Here is a 19,736-nt window from a genome sequence, read left to right on the forward strand (position 1 = left end):
GAGGAGGTTGGAGTGTGCCGAGATCGCATCACTGCACTCCAGCCAGGGTGACAGAGTGAGACTCTGTCTAAAAGAAAAAAAGACAAAGTCAGTTTCCATACCATACCAGACTTTCATTTCATATTTCATATTTCATCAACCACATCCTGTTATTTTTCTTGGAACTGCTTCTCCTCCTCTCCTTTTTCTGACTACACACGCGCTGAAGGAGTGTGTCATGGAGAAGCAGGGATGGATACTTTCACAGGTCAGGGGAGGTCAGTTTCCTCTTAGTCCTCAAAGGTGCGGGCTGATTAGCAGGTCAGCTGTCTGAGCAAGACAGTATTGAACCCAAGCCACCACTGTGAAGGGCGCCCGGAGGATCTTTCTGGCGCAGAACAGCTCCGGCAAGCGACAGCCAATCCAAGATCTTTGCTCACCCTCTGGCGCTCAAGAAGGGGAGAGATGGCAAGTAGATGAGCCTCAAGGAGAAAGGAGAGAAAGTCTGTGCTGAACAGGTGTGTTCCCTTTCAAAGCCAATTGCCCTGTTTGGCTCAGTGAGGAACTTTAGGTTTTTGGATGAAGGGTTTTAGAAACAATGGGGAACGTTGTGGTGGCAAAGAGGATGAAAAGTATAGCCAACAGCAGAAGTAGTGAGATTTCTATAAACATCTTGGCACTGAGAGGCAGAGAAAGCTGATTTAACTAATTATGAGCAAACCCTTCCGGAAGTAAAGAGAGTGGGAAAATTCTGGCTGTCTGGTCAACATTACTGTCTAAATAAATCCACGCAGGCCAGCAGTGGGCCACTGGGTATCGCTCAGGCAGGAAGCAAGTTGGCCTTAAAAACAGCTGCAGCTCCTGAAATGGGGCCAGGCCTGGAGTCTTCCTGCTCACATGCCACCAGGTCTTTTTTTTCTTTTCTTTTTCTTTTTTTTTTTCTTTTTTTTTTTTTTTTTTTTTTTTTGAGACAGAGTCTCACTCTGTAGCCCAGGCTGGAGTGCAATGGCGCCATCTTGGCTCACTGCAACCTCTGCCTCCCAGGCTCAAGCCATTCTCCTGCCTCAGCCTCCCGAGTAGCTGGGACTACAGGCAACTGCCACCATGCCTGGCTAATTTTTGTATTTTTAATAGAGGTGGGGTTTCATCATGTTGGCCAGGCTGGGTCTCAAATTCCTGACCTCAGATGATCCACTCACCTCAGCCTCCCAAAGTGCTGAGATTACAGGCGTGAGCCATCGTGCTCGGCCCACTGAGTCCGAATATATCAATTTACTTAAAAACACACACCGTGGGGGCACTTTTATAGGACAAAAGCCATGCTCTGGTTGAAGATTGAGCAGAATACCTTTTTAAGGTGCTACAGAAGTGAGGACTCCAAAGACGGAAGGGAGGTGGCTGACCTCGGACAGAGCTCTATTTTCCTCTTTATCGTGCACACGAAACCGCGGCAGATCCTTTTTTTTGCTCTCATTTTTATTATGTCTTACAAGGATTCGTGTTCGGTTTTGTGGTTAAAATAGTCACATAGCTTGATCTGCAAAAGTGCTGTAATATTTTTTCATTGCTATTGGCTTTTTATTTCACTCTCCCTTTTTTTCCACATTTGCTGTAGAAATCTATCCACGGGTACAGTGGTTAAGTTGCTGTTTCTAGAGCTATGGTGAGAGGAACAGCGATCTGTGCATTAGTCAGCAAATGAGGACACCCTCTTAACTCTGCTGAATTAGACAGCAATGCAGTAGACAAACAAGTTGTCTCAAAGAGATAAAATATGAAACCAGAGAGGCAGTGTGGCCAACAGAAAAAACAATGGGTGAGGCTGGGTGCAGTGGCTCACACCTGTAATCCCAGCACTTTCAGAGCCTGAGGTAGGAGGATCACTTGAGTCCAGGAGTTGGAGACCAGCCTGGGCAAAAAAGTGAGACCTCATCTCTACAAAAGATAAAAAGTTAGGCACTTGTGGTCCCAGCTACCTGGGAGGCTGAGGTGGGAGGATTGTTTGAGAACAGGAGGTTGAGGCTGCGGTGAGCCCTGTTCACACCACTGTGCTCCAGCCTGGGCGACAGAATGAGACCCTGTCTCAAAAATAAAATGAGGCCGGGCGCAGTGGCTCATGCCTGTAATCTCAGTACTTTGGGAGGCCAAGGCGGGAGGATCACTTGAGGTCAGGAGTTCAAGACCAGCCTGGCCAACATGGCGAAACCCCATCTCTACTAAGAATACAAAAATTAGCCTGGTATGGTGGCGCACACCTGTAGTCTCAACTACTTGGGAGGCTGAGGCAGGAGAATGGCTTGAACCCGGAAGGCAGAGGTTGCAGTCAGCCAAGATTGCGCCATTGCACTCCAGCCTGGGTGACAGAGTGAGATTCCATCTCAAAAAATAAAAAATAAAATAAAACAACAACAATCCACTAGGCGAGCAGTTTGGAGACTCAGTGCCTCACAGCAATCCTATCAGGACTTCAGCATTCTACACAAATCAGAAATAACTCCTGTCCTATTTACTTTACCATGATTGCCCTGGAGAGGAAATACGTGGAAAAAAATGAAAATAGGAGGTATATTTTCATAGGAATACATTTTAATAGGAATCATAGTATTATCATAAATTTGGAGAAAGAATTTATAACGAAGTTTCTAAGGCAGTGCTAAGCCTTACACTAAAAGAACAAGACTGATTATCAGATATTGGCTGCACTAGACATGGAGGACATTGTTGGCCATCTGACCCAAACTCATTCATTCCTAACTGCTTTCTCTCTTGTCCATCTCAACTGAAAAGGCTGCAAAAGTTTCCTTTGTGTCTAATGGAGGCCACATGACACCATTCTGGCCGAAGAGTCTTAAGTAGACATTTGTTGTGGACTTGCAGAGAGAGAAGCTTTTGCCTTTTTCTTATAAAAGGGACAGATACAGTTGGTGTGAATTCCTCTCTTCTTTCTACCTTGAATATTGCTGTAATGTCTGGAGCTGGAGCAACTATTTTGTGATCGTGAGGCAACAAGCCAACATGCTAGGTATCATGAAGAGAAAGAACCAGCTTGCTTGGGTCTTTGATGACACTGAGGAGGTGCTACCCCAGCTCTGGGTGGCCTACCTGGAGACTTCTTGTTTATTTAAGACTTTTTTGGTGAGCGGAGGCAGGTGGGTTTTTTTTGTTTGTTTTTTGTTTGTTTCTTTTTTTTGAGACAGAGTCTCATCTTGTTGCCCAGGCTAGAATACAGTGGCAGGATCTTGGCTCACTGCAACCTCTGCCTTCCAGGGTTCAAGCGATTCTCCTGCCTCAGGCTCCTGAGTAGCTGGGATTACAGGTGCCTGCCACCACACCCAGCTAATTTTTGTATTTTTAGTAGAGATGGGGTTTCACCGTGTTGGCCAGGCTGGTCTCGAGCTCCTGACATCAGGTGATCCGCCCACCTCGGCCTCCCAAAGTGCTGGGATTACAGGCGTGAGCTACCACACCCGCCTATTTAAGACTTCAATAGTTGAGTTTTCTGTTACTTCCAGCCAAAGCATTCTAAAGTACACCTAATTCCAAAGTACACTTTGTTCCTGATAGTATGAAGCGCTATAATATGTTATAGGCTATATATTTAGACTTAACTAAATTGATTTTTCTTAAAAGGAAATTACCATATAGTAATTTGCAATTTTGCTTTACTTTTCAAAACTATATGATGAAGCAAAATGTAGGAATAATTTTTTTTAATTTCTATTTTGAACATTTTTAAACATACATAAACATCGTAAAAGGACTCCTTTCTCAGCCGCTCCAGCCACAGTCACGGCTCAGCCTGTCTCCTCCCTCCAGGGCAGGCGAGCTTGCTCCCACCCAAGGCACTCCCTTTCTCCATGGCACACCTAGAATTGCCAGAAAGGTCTTCTGGATGTTCCATCAAACCTTTCCGCCCTGTAACTTTTTACTTCGGTCTCTGAAGTGACAATGTGCAGTGTGCAGGCCTTTTTATAAAATAGTCATGGCATTTTCTCCCCATGTGAATCTTGCAGGCCAATCAGAAAAGGGGTATTTCTGGAGAAGGTTAAGGACAGACAGGAAGGAGGCCTGCCAGCCCCCGAATCGAGGGCACATTGGGAGTCCTGTTCCTCCTTCTGCGAGGGAACGCTGGGGAGGAGGCGCTCGGCAGCGGTGCCCTCCCTTCTTCCCTGCCCGTCTGTTGGCCCAGCTCCCATGCTGGGCCTGGGGGTTCAGGGACAGACCTGCATTGTCAGAGGTCCTGGTGAGCTTCCTCAGTTGACAACAATGGAACAGCCAGACCCCAGCCTGAAAACTCATCCTGTCCCTAGTAGGTTCCCCTCCAATGTGGAACTGATTTGAACAATGTTTCTATTAAGGACAAGCACACCTTGCTGTTCTTGGCATGTGAAAGCCCCCTTCTTTCCCACATACCTGGGACAGGTGTGCTTTGGGTTGTTTTTCCAGCTGTGATGCTGGGTTGGGGCCTGGGGCCTGGCCGACAGGCTGGCACACCTGTGTGGGGAGCTTGGTCTCGGCCACGGAGGTGAATAAAGCTCCCCGGTCCCCAGAGCCCACAGGCACCTGCAGTCTCTATAGCAACCCAACCAACAGGCTTGTTGACTTTCAGCAACAGACCAGGAGGAAGGAACATGCAGGGACCCAGGGACCTGGACAGAGGGAGGCCCCACACTCTCCAACCCCAGGGCCTAGAGTTTGCAGAGTGTGAACGGTAGCCTGTGGCTGCCAGGCACACTCTGAGCAGGAGTAGAGAAGATAATTTGTGTCTGGAAAGCCCCTGTTCCTGGGCTGACTCGGGTACAATCCTCTGAGAGATCAGTCTCTATATCCAGTCGTAAGGCTGTAAGTCAAGTCTTGCGTGTGTGTAGATATGGACAGATAGTGCCTCATATGCCTTTTTTTTTTTTTTACAAAAACTAATAACTTATAATGAACTTCCAAACCTACCCTTCCTATTCACAGCTGTCCAGCACCTGTCCCACCCAGCGGCACCCAGACTGGCTTTCCCAGGGAGCTGAGCAGAGGGAGCTCAGTCCTCACCTGTGCCCCATGGGTCTTCCTAACACCTCCAGGGGTGTGTGGGGTGGGGATTGTGGGGGGGTGATGTTGGCAAAGCGCCCCAGCTGCTTCACTGATGACTGACACCAGGGAACTCGAAAGGGACGGACTTGCTTTCCTCCTGACTGGTGGCTGTTGGCGCGCTCTGATGGACAGCCCCTGTTTTTCCTGGCCTTAGACTGCCTAGGCTCACGAGTCCTGTTGTCTCTTTGAGGCTTCTAAACGCCAATTAAAATAAAAATCCCATTCTCTTTGCAGAATTTGGGAGGCTTGGGCTTCAAGTGCACTTCTTAGATAAATGGTCTTGTTCATCTAGAACGTTCCACAGATGGCCACTGCAATTCCTTTTTTTTTCTAATTGTATTTTATTTTACTTCAAGTTCCAGGATACATGTGCAGAATGTGCAGGTTTGTTACATAAGTCGATGTGTGCCATGGTGGTTTGCTGCACCCATCAACCCATCATCTAGGTTTTAAGCCCCGCGTGCACTAGCTATTTATGCTGAAGCTCTCCCTCCCTGGCCACTGTAATTCTAAAACATTTTTCGTAAGATCTTTTATACTGTAATTCTAAAATGTGATGACACCGTGACTCTAAAATATCTTTTGCGATTTTGTAAATATTTGCAGCTTCTAGGGACATATTCTTTTTTTTGGGTGGGGGGGGACGAGGAACGCTATTTCCTGACATGGCAGAAGGGCAAAAGAGAGTGAATGATGCACTCTCTTAAAGCCTCTTTTTTTTTAATTATTATACTTTAAGTTCTGGGGTACACGTGCAGAATATGCAGGTTTGTTACATAGGTATACACCTGCCATGGTGGTTTCCTGCACCCATCAACGCGTCATCTACGTTAGGTATTTGGGGCCATATTATTATACATGGAAAGGCAGGCATGGCCAGAAATTAAGGATCCCGTTTCTGGCTCATACAATCCTTCCACAGTGTACTTCATTGCATGAACATTTTCTTGCAGCTGGTGGGTGACCTAATATCAACTAGCCCATTCCATGACCAGCTAAGCCTTTCACAGAAGTCTTATTCTTTTTCTTTTTTTTTTCTGAGACGGAGTCTTGCTGTGTCTCCCAGGCTGGAGTGCAGTGGCACCATCTCGGCTCACTGTAACCTCCACCTCCCGGGTTCAAGCTATTCTCCTGCCTCAGCCTCCTGAGTAGATGGGATTACAGACGTGCGCCACCACACCAGCTTATTTTTGTATTTTTAGTAGAGATGGAGTTTCGCTATGTTGGCCAGGCTGATTTCGAACTCCTGACCTCAGGTGATCCGCCGCCTCAGCCTCCCAAAGTGCTGGGATTACAGGCATGAGCCACTGCGCCTGGCAGGAGTATTGTTGGTAAGTGCTCCAATAGTGGTTAAGTGCCTGAACCATGCCCACCAACCAAATTATGGCTTTGGCTCTGAGATACCCTTGATCAACTTAGCCAGTGATTTCCCGCAACCTAAGCATGCAAGAAAAAGAAATGAAGAGGATAGAAACACAAATACCTGTAGATTCTGAAAGTCAGATTTCTTGGCCCCTGTAAGAATAACCACTCACTGCAAACACCGCTAGTTGCCTTTAAGACTGCAGCTCTTGCCAGTGAGTCATCAGCCACAGCAACCTGGAGGACAAGTGCCCTCTCACAGCGCAAACTACCCTGGGGATCCTTTCCAAGGTCACAAACTAATCCTTAATTCAAAAGCCAAAAAGATCAGGGGCTTCATTGCAAAAAGAGCAGGTCTAATTTGAGAAGAACTGACATCCCTCTGGACTGCATAAGGACAGGAGACCTCAAACAGGGCCAGCAGGGCCTCTTCTGCATTTCTTAAGGGATCTTGGGAGTTGTCAGTAGTCTCTTTTGGGTCCCTTTGCAGTCGCCAGAACTGTCAAAAGACAGAATAACAACCAATTTAGATGTAGATCTAATTGGCTCTTATTCAGGAGTCATGAATCAGGGAAACCACCCTTATACAAAATAAAACAAGGCCGGGTGCGGTGGCTCACGCCTGTAATGCCAGCACTTTGGGAGGCTGGGGCCGGCAGATCACCTGAGCTCAGGAGTGCGAGACCAGCCTGGCCAACATGGTGAAACCCCGTCTCTACTAAAAATACAAAAATTAGCTGGGCATGGTGGTGGGTGCCTGTAATCCCAGCTACTCAGGAGGCTGAGGCAGGAGAATCACTTGAACCCAGGAGGTGGAGATTGCAGTGAGCCGAGATGGCACCACTGCACTCCAGCCTGGGCGACAAGAGTGAAACTCTGTCTCAAAAAATAAAATAAAATAAAAGCTTTCACTGGGCAATAGCAGAAAACTGGGTTTTATAAAATGGCAACAAGGAAACAGAATAGGAAAAAAAACTGGTTAACTTTTTTCGTTACTTTTTTTTTGTAAGGGTTAAAGCAGAGAGCAGCTCCTCGTTACATGGACTCAGATAGACTGGAATCTCCTGTTTTCAGGAAAAACTGGTCTGGTTTGGGATCTATCTGCCTCCTTAAAGCTTCATTTGACTTTGTGGCATTTAGCATTAGTGACTTCACTTTGGTTTTGTCTGGTTTGTTGGGACCTAGTGCCAGAGCTCAGGCTGAAACAATGTCTTCCATAAATTTTTTTTTTTTAACAATTCCAACACCCCAAACAGTGTTGGGAGAAAATTCCACAGTCCTGCAGATTGGCTTCATTTGACATTGACAAACAATCCTTGTTTTATTATTGTGTTTGATTATTTATTTATTTTTAGAGATCGAGTTTCGCTCTGTCACCCAAGCTGGACTGCAATAGCACGATTTTAGCTCACTGCAGCCTCAAACTCCTGGGCTCAAGCAATCCTCCTGTCTCAGCCTCCTGAGTAGCCAGGACTACAGGCATATACCATCACACCTGGCTAATTTTTAAATTTTTTGTAGATATGGGGTCTTGCCATGTTACCCAGGTTGGTCTCGAACTCCTCGCCTCAAGTGATCCTCCTGCCTTGGCCTCCCAAAATGCTGAGATTACAGACATGAGCCACTGCACACAGCCAAAGCACTGCATGGTCGATGAGAAAGGTATAGTGGGAAGAGTGTAGGGGGCTGTGGGGTGAGGGGAGGGCTTCCTTTTTTGGTGGGAGCCACTAGAGCACATTTGTACCCTGCTGGGAATGAGCCACCCAGGAGAGAGGGAGAGATGAGTGCTGTGGGCACTGGGATGAAAGAAGGGACACAATCCTCAGGGAGGGAGAGAGAGCAAATGGCTGGGGTGAAGGAAACAGGGACTTTGGAAGAAGATGATGGGAAAATGTTGGCACCCTGGAAAATATCGTGAGGCAGTTCTTTTCGGTTGACTCTATTTCTCAGGAAAGTATGAGGCAAGACAGATTGCTGAGATGAAGGAGGTAGAGGGAAATAGGAAATGTGAGGAAAGAGGAAAAGGTTCACATCATCATTCTAAAGGAAACGAGCTTAACTGTAAAACTTCTGAGATTAAAAGGCAGTTACATTTTGAGATCCTGGGGGTAAAATGAGTAGATGTCATAACACCAACTGTGGTCTTGAAATTCCTTTTTCCACCAAAAAGAATCAAGACTTCTTGTAAAAATGGTCGATTTCATGTCTAGAGAAAAAAAAATGCACAAGATGAGGTTGATACTGCTATACCAGAAGGCAAGGAAACCATCAAAGGCCATTGGGTCATGTCAGAAGGACCCAGGAGCCACCTCAAAGAGGCTCTCACTGGCCAAAGAGGGAACATGTGAGCATCAGTCAGAATAGTAATGGCGATGGACTGAAACACATCAAATATGTTTAAACTCTGAGTTCAGAAAGACAGGAAAACAACTCATTATTCTGAACACCAGGAAACAGAGGAAAAGAGTCCTATTCTACCTGCTTTATTTTTGTTTGTGTCACCATTGGGTAAACAAGTAGCAGAAGAGAATTTTTCCATTTATAGAAGAATTTTAGCTACTGAATGAAGAAGGAATGACAGAATTGGAACATAACCATTTCACAAGGATTAAGGCATTGATGATTAATGGCTGCTATATCACAAAGAGAAAATCAGACACAGGCTTCCTGGTGGAGGAACACACCACCACCCATGAAACGGAATCTAATGAAGCTTCTAGATCCAGCCACCGAGCTACAGATGAAACACAGGGCAAAGGAACTGGCTAAACAACATCACAGCGACATGCTCAGCAAAATCCGGGCTGGGGAGGATGGCTGGACACACAGCTTCGTTTTTTTCAACAAATAAATTGCAAGGAGATTAAAAAAAAGAAGTAGAGGGGAACTAGATATTAAAAAGGACATATCAGTTATTTTGTGTAAGCATTATTTCAGTTCTGATTCACACAAATTTATGACATTTATGAAATAATTAGAAACATGAACTCTAACTGATAACATTAAATAATTACTGCTTTGAAAAATGACACCAGCCTGCAAAGCTATGCAATTTCTCCAGTAACTTTAAGGATTCAGAGTTCAAGGAGGCTACTAAAGAAATTCATTGGAGGTTGAAGTTTGGTTGAATAAATGAATTAATAAGTTAAGAATATTGGGATGTTTTGCCTTAAATATTCATGGGTTTTTAATATCTAATATAATATTTATATTAAAAAGTACTTTGAAAAACTGCAAAGTTTTATTCAAAAATTAGAGCTAAAATCTTGGAGCGCCAGAAAGACAGAGAGGCTGAATCAATCCGTTCTTTGCTGATGCATCAATTTACTTTGCTGGCATAATTATGGAGATCATATTTTTCTGGTTTTTTGTTTGTTTGTTTGTTTGTTTGTTTGTTTGTTTGTTTGAGACAGAGTTTCACTCTGTCGCCCAAGCTGTAGTACAGTGGCAGGATCTTGGCTCACTGCAACCTCTGCCTCCTGGGTTCAAGTGATTCTCATGCCTCAGCCTCTTGAGTAGCTGGGATTAGAGGTGTGTGCCACCACGCCTGGCTAATTTTTGTATTTTTAGTAGAAACGAGGTTTCACCTGTTGGCCAGGCTGGTCTTGAACTCCTGACCTCAGGTGATCTACCCCCCTTCCCCTTGGCCTCCCAAAGTGCTGGGATTACAGGCGTGAGCCACTGCTCCTAGCCAGAGATCATACTTTTCTGAACCTCCAAAAGGAACATGTGGTCTGACAAAAGGATGTTTTCTAGTTTATGAATGTATTTAGATGAAAACTCTTATTAAGGTATAAAAACTTAATCATAATTAGTTGTACATTTAATGAATCTGCTTTAAGGAAAGTGCAAAGTTACATAAAATTGAAATCAACTCAGAACATCACATGAATTATCGCCTTCATTATGTTCTGCATGAGTTAGACCTTAGGGAACTCTTTGGTGACTTCACATTTCAGAAGTGGGGGAACTCAGGATAGTCCAAGAAGAGCAAGTGTAATGAGAGCAGTGGATGCTGGGAGTCTGAGGGGCCTTTACAGGGGTCACCGGGAGAAGCCACGGAGGAGCCAGTCAGAATCACTGTCTCCAAGTTGGCTGCGTGCTTTTCTTCTTTTTTCTTTTTTTTTTCTTTTTTTCTTTTTATTTTTATTTCGAGATAGAGTCTCACGCTGTCGCCCAGGCTGGAGTACAGTGGCACAATCTTGGATCACCACAACCTCTGCCTCCTGGGTTCAAGCAATTCTCCTGCCTCAGCCTCCCAAGTAGCTGGGATTACAGGCGCCCACCACCATGCCCAGCTAATTTTTGTATTTTTAGTAGAGATGATGTTTCACCATGCTGGCCAGGCTGGCCTCGAACTTCTGCCCTCAGGCGATCTGCCCTGCCTCGGCCTCCCAAAGTGCTGGGATTACAGGTGTGAGCTACTGTGCACAGGCAGGCTGTGTACTTTTCGCGATCTCAAGTTGATAACTAGATCCTCACATATACAGAGGGTCAAGCAGGAAGAAATGGGCTGTGAAAAAGCACTGGTGCCCCCCAGCCTTCCTTCGAGACTGCTCTTATAGGGTCAGCAACGACCTCCACGTTGCCAAATCCCAAGGACAATTCCCAGACCTCGTCCTCCTGGACCCCTCACAGCCTTGGCCATCACTGACCACTGGCTGCTCCCTGAAATGTTTCCTTCCATTGGATCCAGGACACTGGGATCCTGCTGGTCATCGTCCTCCTTCACCGGTCTCCTACTCAGTGGCCGGTGCCGGTTCCTCTTCCTCTCCCACTTGTCAGAGCGCGCCAGGGCACGGGCCCGGGCCTCTTCCCTTTCTGATCAGCATTTGGCCCTTGGTAAACTCACTTAGGCTCAAGGCTTTAAATGCTGTCTGTGTGCTGATGTTGAAGAGAAATGGGGGCTATGGTCCAGATGGACCCCCAGGCCAATCACCCATAACCGTATAACTAAAACTGAAGTCATCCCGATTTCCCCAAACGCTAGCTCTAACCATAGAAACACAAAACATAAGCTTTACAACCTTGTCAGCATGATTCAATGAACTGTTGTGAATGGGGCTTCCTACCATGTTTGGTTTGCAAACAATTTGCAACCCAGTTTGCAAATTATTGTTTAGTATGCACAGTACACTTCTAAAATTGTAATATTTTATCTGATTTTATTTTTGACACCGATGACCTCCATATTTTCATCTCTGTCCAGATCTCGCCCTTGGACCTCAGGCTTGCATACTCTACTGTCCACTCAACACCTGCGACTGAATGTGTAATCTGCGTCTCAAAACCAGCCTGCCCCAAATTGCCCGCTCCACCCCCAGCCACCTGCTCCTCCCCATGCAAACTCGTCTCTGCTGATGCAACGCCATCCTTCCAGTTGCCCTGACCAAAATCTCCATCTTCCAAACCCCTGTCTTTCCCTTACATCCCACATCTGCTGTAAAAGCAACTCCTGCTGACTCACCCTTCAAAAATCTAGCCAGAATCCAACCGTTTCTCACCACCCCGCCACCATCAGCCTTGTTCTCCCACCCTGGGCAACGGCAGCAGCCTCCTTCCTGGTCTCACCTGGTCTCCCTGCCTCCACCCTTCCACTCAAGTTTCAACTCAGCAGCTAGAATGCTTGGTGAAAACATAAATCTGAGCATGTCTCTTTCTCTGCCCTGTCACTCAGCATAAAGGCCCAAGTTATTATAGTGGCCAACAGCCTGGGCCCCTTTCCTCCTCTGGCCTCCTCTTCAACCACCTCCCCCTGCTCCCCGGGGTTCCTCTTCCTCCTCCCAGTTTTTCCCTGACATGCCCTGCCCTCAGATGCCCACACGGCTCGCCCCTCACTTGTTTCATTTTTCACTCAAATGCCACTTCCCTGCAAGGCCTCAGCTGTCCCCCATTTAGAGTTCTGCACCCCCTTTTCCCCACTCATTTGTCTTCCATGGCACTACTGCCATGAGCACATGATGTACTTTGTTTGATTTCTTTGTTTGATTTCTTCTCCGTACCAGGGATTTTTGTCTGTTTTCTTTGTTCCTGTATCCCCCAGCACCTGGAACAATGCTTGCCGTATAGTAGGTGCCTAGTAAATATTTATTCAATCAATCCAGCAAGCAGCATAAGAATCTCTGCAATGGACAGCCCCAGAAGGTTGTGAATCCTCCACTCCCACAGAGATCAGATGGTAGGAAGGAGATCCACTTACTCATTGCACAAGGACTCCTGGCTGCCTAGCAGGTGCCAGGCACTGTTCTAGGCACCAGGGATACACCACGAACAAATAGGACTAAACAAAGCAAAACAGAAGAAACCCTGCACAGGAGCTTACCTGACAGGGGGAGACCTGGATGACAACAGGGTAAACCAGTCAAAGATTTATTATAATAGAGACTAATAAGCACTAAGGAGAGAAATCAAACAGGGAAAGACATGAAAAGTTGGGGGTGAATTTGTCTGCTCAGGCTGCCAGAACAAAGTACCAACAACTGGGTGGCTGAAAGAGCAGACATTTATTTTCTCAGTTCTGGAAGCTGGAAGTCCAAGATCAAGGTGCTGGCAGGGTTGCTTTCTTCTGAGGCCTCTCTCCTTGGCTTGTGCAATATGGCTTTCTTCTCCCTCTGTCCTCACATGGGCTTCCCTCTGTGGGCACATGTCTGCGTCCAAATTTCATCTTTTTATGTTTTATTTTTAGATTTTTGTTTGTTTGTTTGTTTTGTTTTGAGACAGGGTCTTGCTCTGTCAGCCAGGGCGGAGTGCAGTGGCATGATCTCAGCTCAGAGCAACCTCATACTCCTGGGCTCAAGTGGTCCTCCTACCTCAGCCTCCCAAGTAGCTGGGACTACAGGTGTGCACCACTGCCCCAGCTACTTTTTTTGTATTTTGTGTAGAGATGGAGTTTCACTATGTTGCCCAGGTTAGTCTTGAGCTCGCAGGCTCAAGCGATCCACCCTCCTCGGCCTCCCAAAGTGCTAGGATTACAGGCGTGAACCACTGCGCCCGGCCTTTGTTTTTTGTTTTAAGAGACAGGGTCTCGCTCTGTCACCCAGGCTGGAGTCCAGTGGTGTGACCATAGCTCACTGTAATGTCAAACTCCTGGGCTCACATGATCCGCCTACCTCAGCCTCCTGAGTAGCTGGGGCTACAGATGCATGCCACCATGCCTGCCTATCTTTCTTTTAATTTTTTGTAGAGACGGAGCCTCACCATGTTGTCCAAGCTGGTCTCAAACTCCTGGCCTCAAGTGATCCTCCTGCCTTGGCCTTTCAAAGTGCTGGATTACAGGCGTGAACCACCGCACCTGGCAAAAATTTCCAGTCCTGATAGATTAGAGCCTACCCCAAAGACCTCCTTTTGACTTAACCATCTATTTAAAGATCACACCTCTAAATGCAGTCCCATTCTGAGGTACTGGGGGTTAGGAGTTCAACACATGGATTTGGGGGGCAAAATTCAGCTCATAACGGAGTGGATGGGGGGAGGAAGTTTAGATAGAGAGGCTCGGGAAGGCCTCACTAAGAAGCTGTTTTTTGATGGTTGTGAAGGAGGTAAGAGAAGTAGCGTCGGGCCTCTGGGGCAGCTGCCTTCCACATGCAGAAGCCCTGTGTGGGGGCTCACCTGGTGCACCAGCATGAGGACCACGGCGAGCCTGGCTGGACAAGGCAGAGAGCAGCCACATATGGGACGGGAGACCGGCCAGACCACAGAGCGCCTGGACTTCAGCCTCCACAGAGTGAGCTGTGCAGATTGACGGTGTCAGCAGGGCCACTCTGGCTGCCAGCGAGGTTGGGGAGAAGAAGGGTGACTAGATCCAAGCTAAAGATGCCAGACCAGGTGGGGACAGTGGGTGTCTGCCCTGACCTCAAACTGTAGGTCCTGGAGGGAGCATCTATTCCCCCAGTGCTGCGAGTGTTGCTCCCGGCTGGGGTGCCCTGCCCAGGTCGCCCCTCTTCAGAAGCCAGGACCGCCGGATGCACTCAGGCAACTCGACTCCTCATCCTCCCCCTCCCCGTCCATCTTTCTCCCCAGCACAGACCCCGCAGGCACATCCCCTGCTCAGAGTCCCTGCCACAGGGAACCAAACCTGAAACAGTGAGCCAGTGAACCGTGCTCCGAGCCTGGATATGATTTTCAGTTAGAACTGGCAGGCTTGAGGCTTTCTCCTCGTTTTGCAGAGGAACCAGAGAGCCGGTCAGCCAAGGCTACCTCCAGTACTTCAGTCCACCCTGGGTTTAGGCCCAGAGGATCTTGACTATGACTTCTAGATTGTGTGCACCGTGGCCAGCGTCCTGGGCCTTTCCCACTCTCGCTAACTCCCATTCCCACCCTCGTGTCCTCATGGGGAGCTCACCAAGGGCCAGTTCTTGGGAGGATGGCGCCTCCTCCTCCAGCTTGCCCACAGCCCTGTCCCACTGCCTGCTCCCTTCTGCCTCCATACCTGTCCTCCCAACCTCCTCTCCCTCCCTCTGAAGATCCTGCCACCTCCTTTTCAGGGGACTTCCTTTCTCCCCTCTAGAGACAGGTGCCTCTCTGTGCTGGGGAGTGAGCTCTCCTGCTCTGCTCTTTGCTATTTGCCTTCCACCATGTGCAGGTCTGGCCAGTCCTCGAGGGTCTCTGCTATCCCGTCTGCCCCCCATTCTGTTCATCTTGTGTTTCTCCCAGCCTGGCTTCCAGAGCCAGCAGACTACACTCACAGCGCCATTTCTTCCTTATTTCTTTGCAAGCTGGCTTTTTTGCCCAGCCCTCTAGTGAAGCTGCCCCCTCAAAGGTCCCCGTTACCTTCTCACCAAACCAAGTTTCTTTTCTGAGTCCTGATTCTTGGATACCTTCCTGAGGTTTTTAAACCAGTCACCTCTCAGGGCTTTTGCATGTGGGAGGCTGTAGCCCCAGATGCCTGATGGCTGTTTCTCTTACCTCCTTCCGGTCTGTTAAAAAATGCCTCCTTTTCTGAGAGGGAGGAGCCCTCAGGAATGGTTTAGCGCCATCCTCTAGACGATGAGTTTTCACTCAGTTCATGTGAGATCCAGAGCTGTCCAGGTCACGCCCTTGGCCCCTCTGCTTTCTCGGGGTACTTCTTGATCGTCTTTTCCTCCTGCCCCTGCCTTCTACCCCTGTCTGTCTCCACTCCCCTTTGATCGCTGCCATACTCATTTCTGGCCCCTCATCTGTAGGCATTTCCCACTGGACGACCTGCCCACCCGGTCTCTGTCTCCAATTAAACTCGCCTCCTCCTCACTCTGGGATGGTATCGCTGCTGTCCCATTCTCAAAATGCCAGGGTCCTGTCTGACTTCCCACTTTCCTTTGTGCAGCTCATATCATACAATCAGGCACCAAATACAGATTTGTATTTCCTTTAAACCTCTCCTGTCTTACTCGGCTCGGGCTCTGATAGGGGTTAGATGTCTGTCCACTCCAAATCTCCTGTTGAAATGTAATCCCCAGTGCTGGAGGTGGGGCCTGGTGGGAGGATTGCATCATGAGGGTGGACCTCTCATGAATGGTTTAGTACCATCTTCTTGATGATAAGTGAGTTCTTGCTCAGTTAGTTCACGGGAGATCTGAGTGTTTGAAAGAGTGCGGCACCTCCCCCCAGCTCTCCTGCTCTAATCTCACCACGTGACATGCTGGTTCCTGGTTGCCTTCCACCATGACTGTAAGCCTCCTGAGGCCTCCCCAGAAGCAGACGCCAGCACCATGCTTCCTGTACAGCCTGTGGAAGCGTGAGCCAATGACATCTATTTTCTTTATAAATACCCAGTCTCAGGTATTCCTTTATAGTAACACAAATAGACTAATAATACAGGCTTCCGCAATAAAATACCACAGGCCAGTGGCTTAAACAATAGAAATTTATTTCTCAGTTCTAGAAGCTAGAAATTCTGAGATCAAGGTGCCAGCTGATGTGGCTCTTGCTGAGGGCCGTCTTCCTGGCCGGCAGATGCTCAGGCCCTTCCCTCTGTGTCTCTTCTTTTTTTTTTTTTTTGTTTTTCCTTCTTTGAGACAGAGTCGTGCTCTATTGCCCAGGCTGGAGTACAGTGGCTCCATCTCTGCTCACTGCAACCTCTGCCTCCCGGGTTCAAGTGATTCTCCTGCCTCAGTCTCCCGAGTAGCTGGGATTACAGGCACACACCACCACATCCAGTGAATTTTTTTGTATTTTTAGTAGAGATGGGGTTTTGCCATGTTGGCCAGGGTGGTCTCAAACTCCTGATCTCAAGTGATTCACCCACCTTGGCTTCCCAAAGTGCTGGGATTACAGGCATGAGCCACCGCGCCTGGCCTGTCTCTTCTTCTAAGGACACTAATCCTATCATTCTTATTGAGAGGGCCCCACTGGCATGACGTCATCTGACCCTAACGAGCTCCTAAAGGTTCCATCTCTAAAAACCATTCCACTGGGGGTCAGGGCTTCAACATATGGATTTGGTAGGGCAACAGGGGGTGGGGATAGGGTGGCTCAAACGTTCAGTGCATGTCTCCCCTACTTCCCCTCTTTGTTTCCTCTGATAACCTGTTGGGGTTCCTGACTCCCTCACCCACACCACGCTGAGCTACATTTCCTGCTGTGGCTTACTCTGGGGCTGGTGGAGTTGGCTTTTGCTTCCTTCCCCATCTCCTCCCCTTCCCAATTCCCTACCCTCCAGGCATTATACATCTCAGAGAGGGGAAGCGCCCAACTCTCCTGCCGCAGATGGGCCCACCCCTTTGCCCAAACGCCGCTGGGGGTTTAGGTGTCTGAGCCAACCTTTTCCTTGAAGGCCTCAAGGTCAGTTGCTCCATCTGCGAAAGGTGCCTGTGCCTGGGTACCCTTGGTCTATCAAGCCAGTGCGCATGTGAGGAAGCTGCTCCCTCTGCCACCCAGGTGGGCTGTCCCACCTGAAACCAGACAGCAGAGGCCCCAAAACCCAGCAGGCTCTTGGCTCACCCAGCCATTTCTCAGAGACGGAGGAACAGCCACTGTAGTTCCTTGAGTCTGAGACGTGCATTTTAACATTGTCTAAATCAGGGCAGAGATGACTATTGGTGGCATGTTCTAGTTTAATTGGAAGTTTTTTTTTTTTTCTCAGTGGTACATAAAATAGTGGTTCATTTTACAGTTGATGGTGACTTGGATTCTATAAGCTGTGAGGCTCAACTGCTGGTCCTGACTGCAGGAAAATTTCTAAAATAGGTATGGCATGCCACTGTGCAGGACTTTAGACTATATGATGCTAGTTAGGAAAGAGGAGAGAGAGATAAATGGAAGACTGGGTCCCCTCCCTAAGGCCTTACCACTCAATTTGCAAAACAGGGCTAAGAGAAAACATAAAAACACTTCTCAAGCAACATATGAGTAGGTGAGAACTGAAGTCTGTAAATCTGGGTGTTATATAAGCACTATTATCTGGGACCTCAGCATTCCAGGAAAGCTTCCTGGAAGAAGTGAGTTTCAGGTCAAAAAGTGGGCCAAAGGCTGATCTGCCTCACTGAATGGGCACACTGTTTTCATGAGGTAGTAATGTTTCCATCTACACAGAAAGAAGCTGCTCGGACAGCTGATGAGCATCATGCCTGGGATATTGAGCACATCATGCTTGACCTGGGCAGAGTTTGTGGGCAAGGAAAGGGGCTAAGGGTCAAGATAATCTCTGCTGGGGTTGTTCAAATTTATTACCCAACCATCACCTGAGAGGTTGTCCCCTGAGGATGGCTTGTCTGGTCATTACTGAATGTCTGCAGGGGCATGGCAGTGTTCTGCTTGGCTCTGGGGGCTCTGCCCTTTCTAGGACAAGTCCCAGAGACAAACAGCTTGGCCCAGTACAGCAGAATGGGGTGAGAGAGGAACTGAGTTCGTTTGCGGGCAGGATGGAAACAGCTGATGGAGGCTTCTCGGGCCATCCTCACGTACCCATCACAAGCGAAGGGAATTAAGCCGCCAAACCACCCCAAAGAGTGACTCCAACTCAGCCCTAAACACCCATACCCACCCCACCTCCCCTGCAGCTCTGACAGGCCAAGCCTGGGCGCTAGAACCCCGCGCCAGAAGGCCGGGCCACACACTCCAGCGTACACGCGCGGACACGTGCCGGTGTCCAGAGCCGGTGGGAGAGGCGCTGTCACCATCTGACAGGAGAGGAAGGTGGAGCGCAGAGAAGTCAGGGTCACGTGGTAAGTGGGGGTCGTGGTCTGGGGATCACGGCTCCAGGTCTCTTCGCGACAACGCACCGTTGACCCCCAACACCTCTCCCTGGCGGGGTCGGTGACCGCAACAGCCTCCGGGATAGAACGCTAGTGAAAGGTAACCTTTCTCCAGCCCGCTCCACGCGCTCCGCACCCGCTAAGCGCCTCCGCGAATTAACTCAGGCCTCCGCGCCGAAGTAGGCGCAGTTATGACCCCGCTTCCCCGCAGGGAGACCGAGGCACGCAGGGTCGAAAGGACTCGTCCAGGGTCGCAGGAGCCGACCACACAGGGAGGCGCAGCGCCCCCGGCGGGAACAGTCAGCGGGTCCAGCCTGGCGGACTCCCGGGCCGGGCTGCCCATATAAGGCTGCGGGCGGCCGGCATCGCAGCCAGGCTCCCGGGGTCGCCCCGCGCGGGGCATCCTCCTCCGCAGCGAGGAATGCGTGGCATCCGGGAGGCTCTTCCGCTCCACGCCCGCCTGCGGGGAGCCTCAGCCCCGGGGCGCGGCCTCGCGCAGCTGCCTGGCCGCTGGGGGGAGCGCGGGGCCGGGCGGGAGGCGGCGGCGCGCCCTCACCTGCCCCAGGCTGGGGAGGCGCGAGTGGGGAGGAGGAGGAAGGGGAGGAGGCCGGGGAGGAGCCTGGCGCGGCGGGAGCGGCGGCGCAAAGTGAAACTCTGGCAAGTTGCGGGCGCGCGGGGAGCTGTCGCGGGCAGCGCGCCCTCGGGAGGACGTGGCCCCGGCCCCCGCCCGCAGTGGGCCCGACCCTCATGGCCCTGAGCAAAGGGCTGCGGCTGCTGGGGCGCCTGGGGGCCGAGGGGGACTGTAGCGTGCTGCTGGAGGCGCGCGGCCGCGACGACTGCCTGCTGTTCGAGGCCGGCACGGTGGCCACGCTGGGTGAGTCCGGGCCGGGGGCAGCGACGCCCGGAGGAGAGGGCGCCCGCATTCGCCCAGCCTCGGGAAGACGGGTACCCCCCCTTCCCGAGGGGATCGGGCGGCGCTGGGACTGCCGGGGCGTAGGGGTCGCGCGCAGAGGGGTGGCTGTTTGAATGAAGTGGGGCTGGGGACTCGAGAGAGCACTCTGGCTGGGCCGGTGGCGCACGGAGGCCGGCCGCCCCTCCACGGGGATCTCCGGCCCGCGCCGCCAGAGGATATGGTTGCTGGAT

At 49.6% G+C, this 19,736-nt stretch overlaps 1 protein-coding gene across 7 annotated transcripts in view, besides 10 other annotated features; it reads left to right on the top strand.

Moving 5' to 3' along the window:
• Positions 1,487-1,829: a transcriptional cis regulatory region, noted in NCBI's record as "candidate enhancer chr6.5510 targeted for multiplex CRISPR interference". NCBI's record gives its function as "positively regulates SYNJ2 gene expression with high confidence in K562 cells {active_cell/tissue: K562}" and the evidence as "EXISTENCE:mutant phenotype evidence [ECO:0000015][PMID:30612741]".
• Positions 11,086-11,639: an enhancer, noted in NCBI's record as "H3K27ac-H3K4me1 hESC enhancer chr6:158394739-158395292 (GRCh37/hg19 assembly coordinates)". NCBI's record gives its function as "activates a minimal SCP1, AML or CMV promoter by ChIP-STARR-seq in naive H9 embryonic stem cells {active_cell/tissue: H9 hESC(naive)}" and the evidence as "EXISTENCE:reporter gene assay evidence [ECO:0000049][PMID:30033119]".
• Positions 18,478-18,527: an enhancer, noted in NCBI's record as "active region_25342". NCBI's record gives its function as "activates an Ori minimal core promoter by ATAC-STARR-seq in GM12878 lymphoblastoid cells {active_cell/tissue: GM12878}" and the evidence as "EXISTENCE:reporter gene assay evidence [ECO:0000049][PMID:35858748]".
• Positions 18,478-19,007: a biological region, named in NCBI's record as "H3K27ac-H3K4me1 hESC enhancer GRCh37_chr6:158402145-158402660".
• Positions 18,492-19,007: an enhancer, noted in NCBI's record as "H3K27ac-H3K4me1 hESC enhancer chr6:158402145-158402660 (GRCh37/hg19 assembly coordinates)". NCBI's record gives its function as "activates a minimal SCP1, AML or CMV promoter by ChIP-STARR-seq in naive H9 embryonic stem cells {active_cell/tissue: H9 hESC(naive)}" and the evidence as "EXISTENCE:reporter gene assay evidence [ECO:0000049][PMID:30033119]".
• Positions 18,548-18,737: an enhancer, noted in NCBI's record as "active region_25343". NCBI's record gives its function as "activates an Ori minimal core promoter by ATAC-STARR-seq in GM12878 lymphoblastoid cells {active_cell/tissue: GM12878}" and the evidence as "EXISTENCE:reporter gene assay evidence [ECO:0000049][PMID:35858748]".
• Positions 18,675-19,736, top strand: part of SYNJ2 (synaptojanin 2) — a 117,881-nt gene continuing 116,819 nt past the window's right edge. For 6 of the 7 annotated variants that reach the window (NM_001410947.1, NM_003898.4, XM_011536224.2 and 3 more), the window contains exon 1: positions 19,242-19,467. In NM_001410947.1, coding sequence (NP_001397876.1) covers positions 19,341-19,467 — 127 coding nt within the window. In that variant the 5' untranslated portion in view covers positions 19,242-19,340. Of the gene's footprint in view, positions 18,694-19,241; positions 19,468-19,736 lie in introns of those variants that run through there. The other variant, XM_047419472.1, reaches the window with a different exon arrangement.
• Positions 18,758-18,807: an enhancer, noted in NCBI's record as "active region_25344". NCBI's record gives its function as "activates an Ori minimal core promoter by ATAC-STARR-seq in GM12878 lymphoblastoid cells {active_cell/tissue: GM12878}" and the evidence as "EXISTENCE:reporter gene assay evidence [ECO:0000049][PMID:35858748]".
• Positions 18,928-19,507: a silencer, noted in NCBI's record as "silent region_17731". NCBI's record gives its function as "represses an Ori minimal core promoter by ATAC-STARR-seq in GM12878 lymphoblastoid cells {active_cell/tissue: GM12878}" and the evidence as "EXISTENCE:reporter gene assay evidence [ECO:0000049][PMID:35858748]".
• Positions 18,928-19,523: a biological region, named in NCBI's record as "NANOG-H3K27ac-H3K4me1 hESC enhancer GRCh37_chr6:158402661-158403176".
• Positions 19,008-19,523: an enhancer, noted in NCBI's record as "NANOG-H3K27ac-H3K4me1 hESC enhancer chr6:158402661-158403176 (GRCh37/hg19 assembly coordinates)". NCBI's record gives its function as "activates a minimal SCP1, AML or CMV promoter by ChIP-STARR-seq in naive H9 embryonic stem cells {active_cell/tissue: H9 hESC(naive)}" and the evidence as "EXISTENCE:reporter gene assay evidence [ECO:0000049][PMID:30033119]".

The sequence above is a fragment of the Homo sapiens genome, chromosome 6, assembly GCF_000001405.40.
Source record: "Homo sapiens chromosome 6, GRCh38.p14 Primary Assembly".
Classification (NCBI taxonomy): domain Eukaryota; kingdom Metazoa; phylum Chordata; class Mammalia; order Primates; family Hominidae; genus Homo; species Homo sapiens.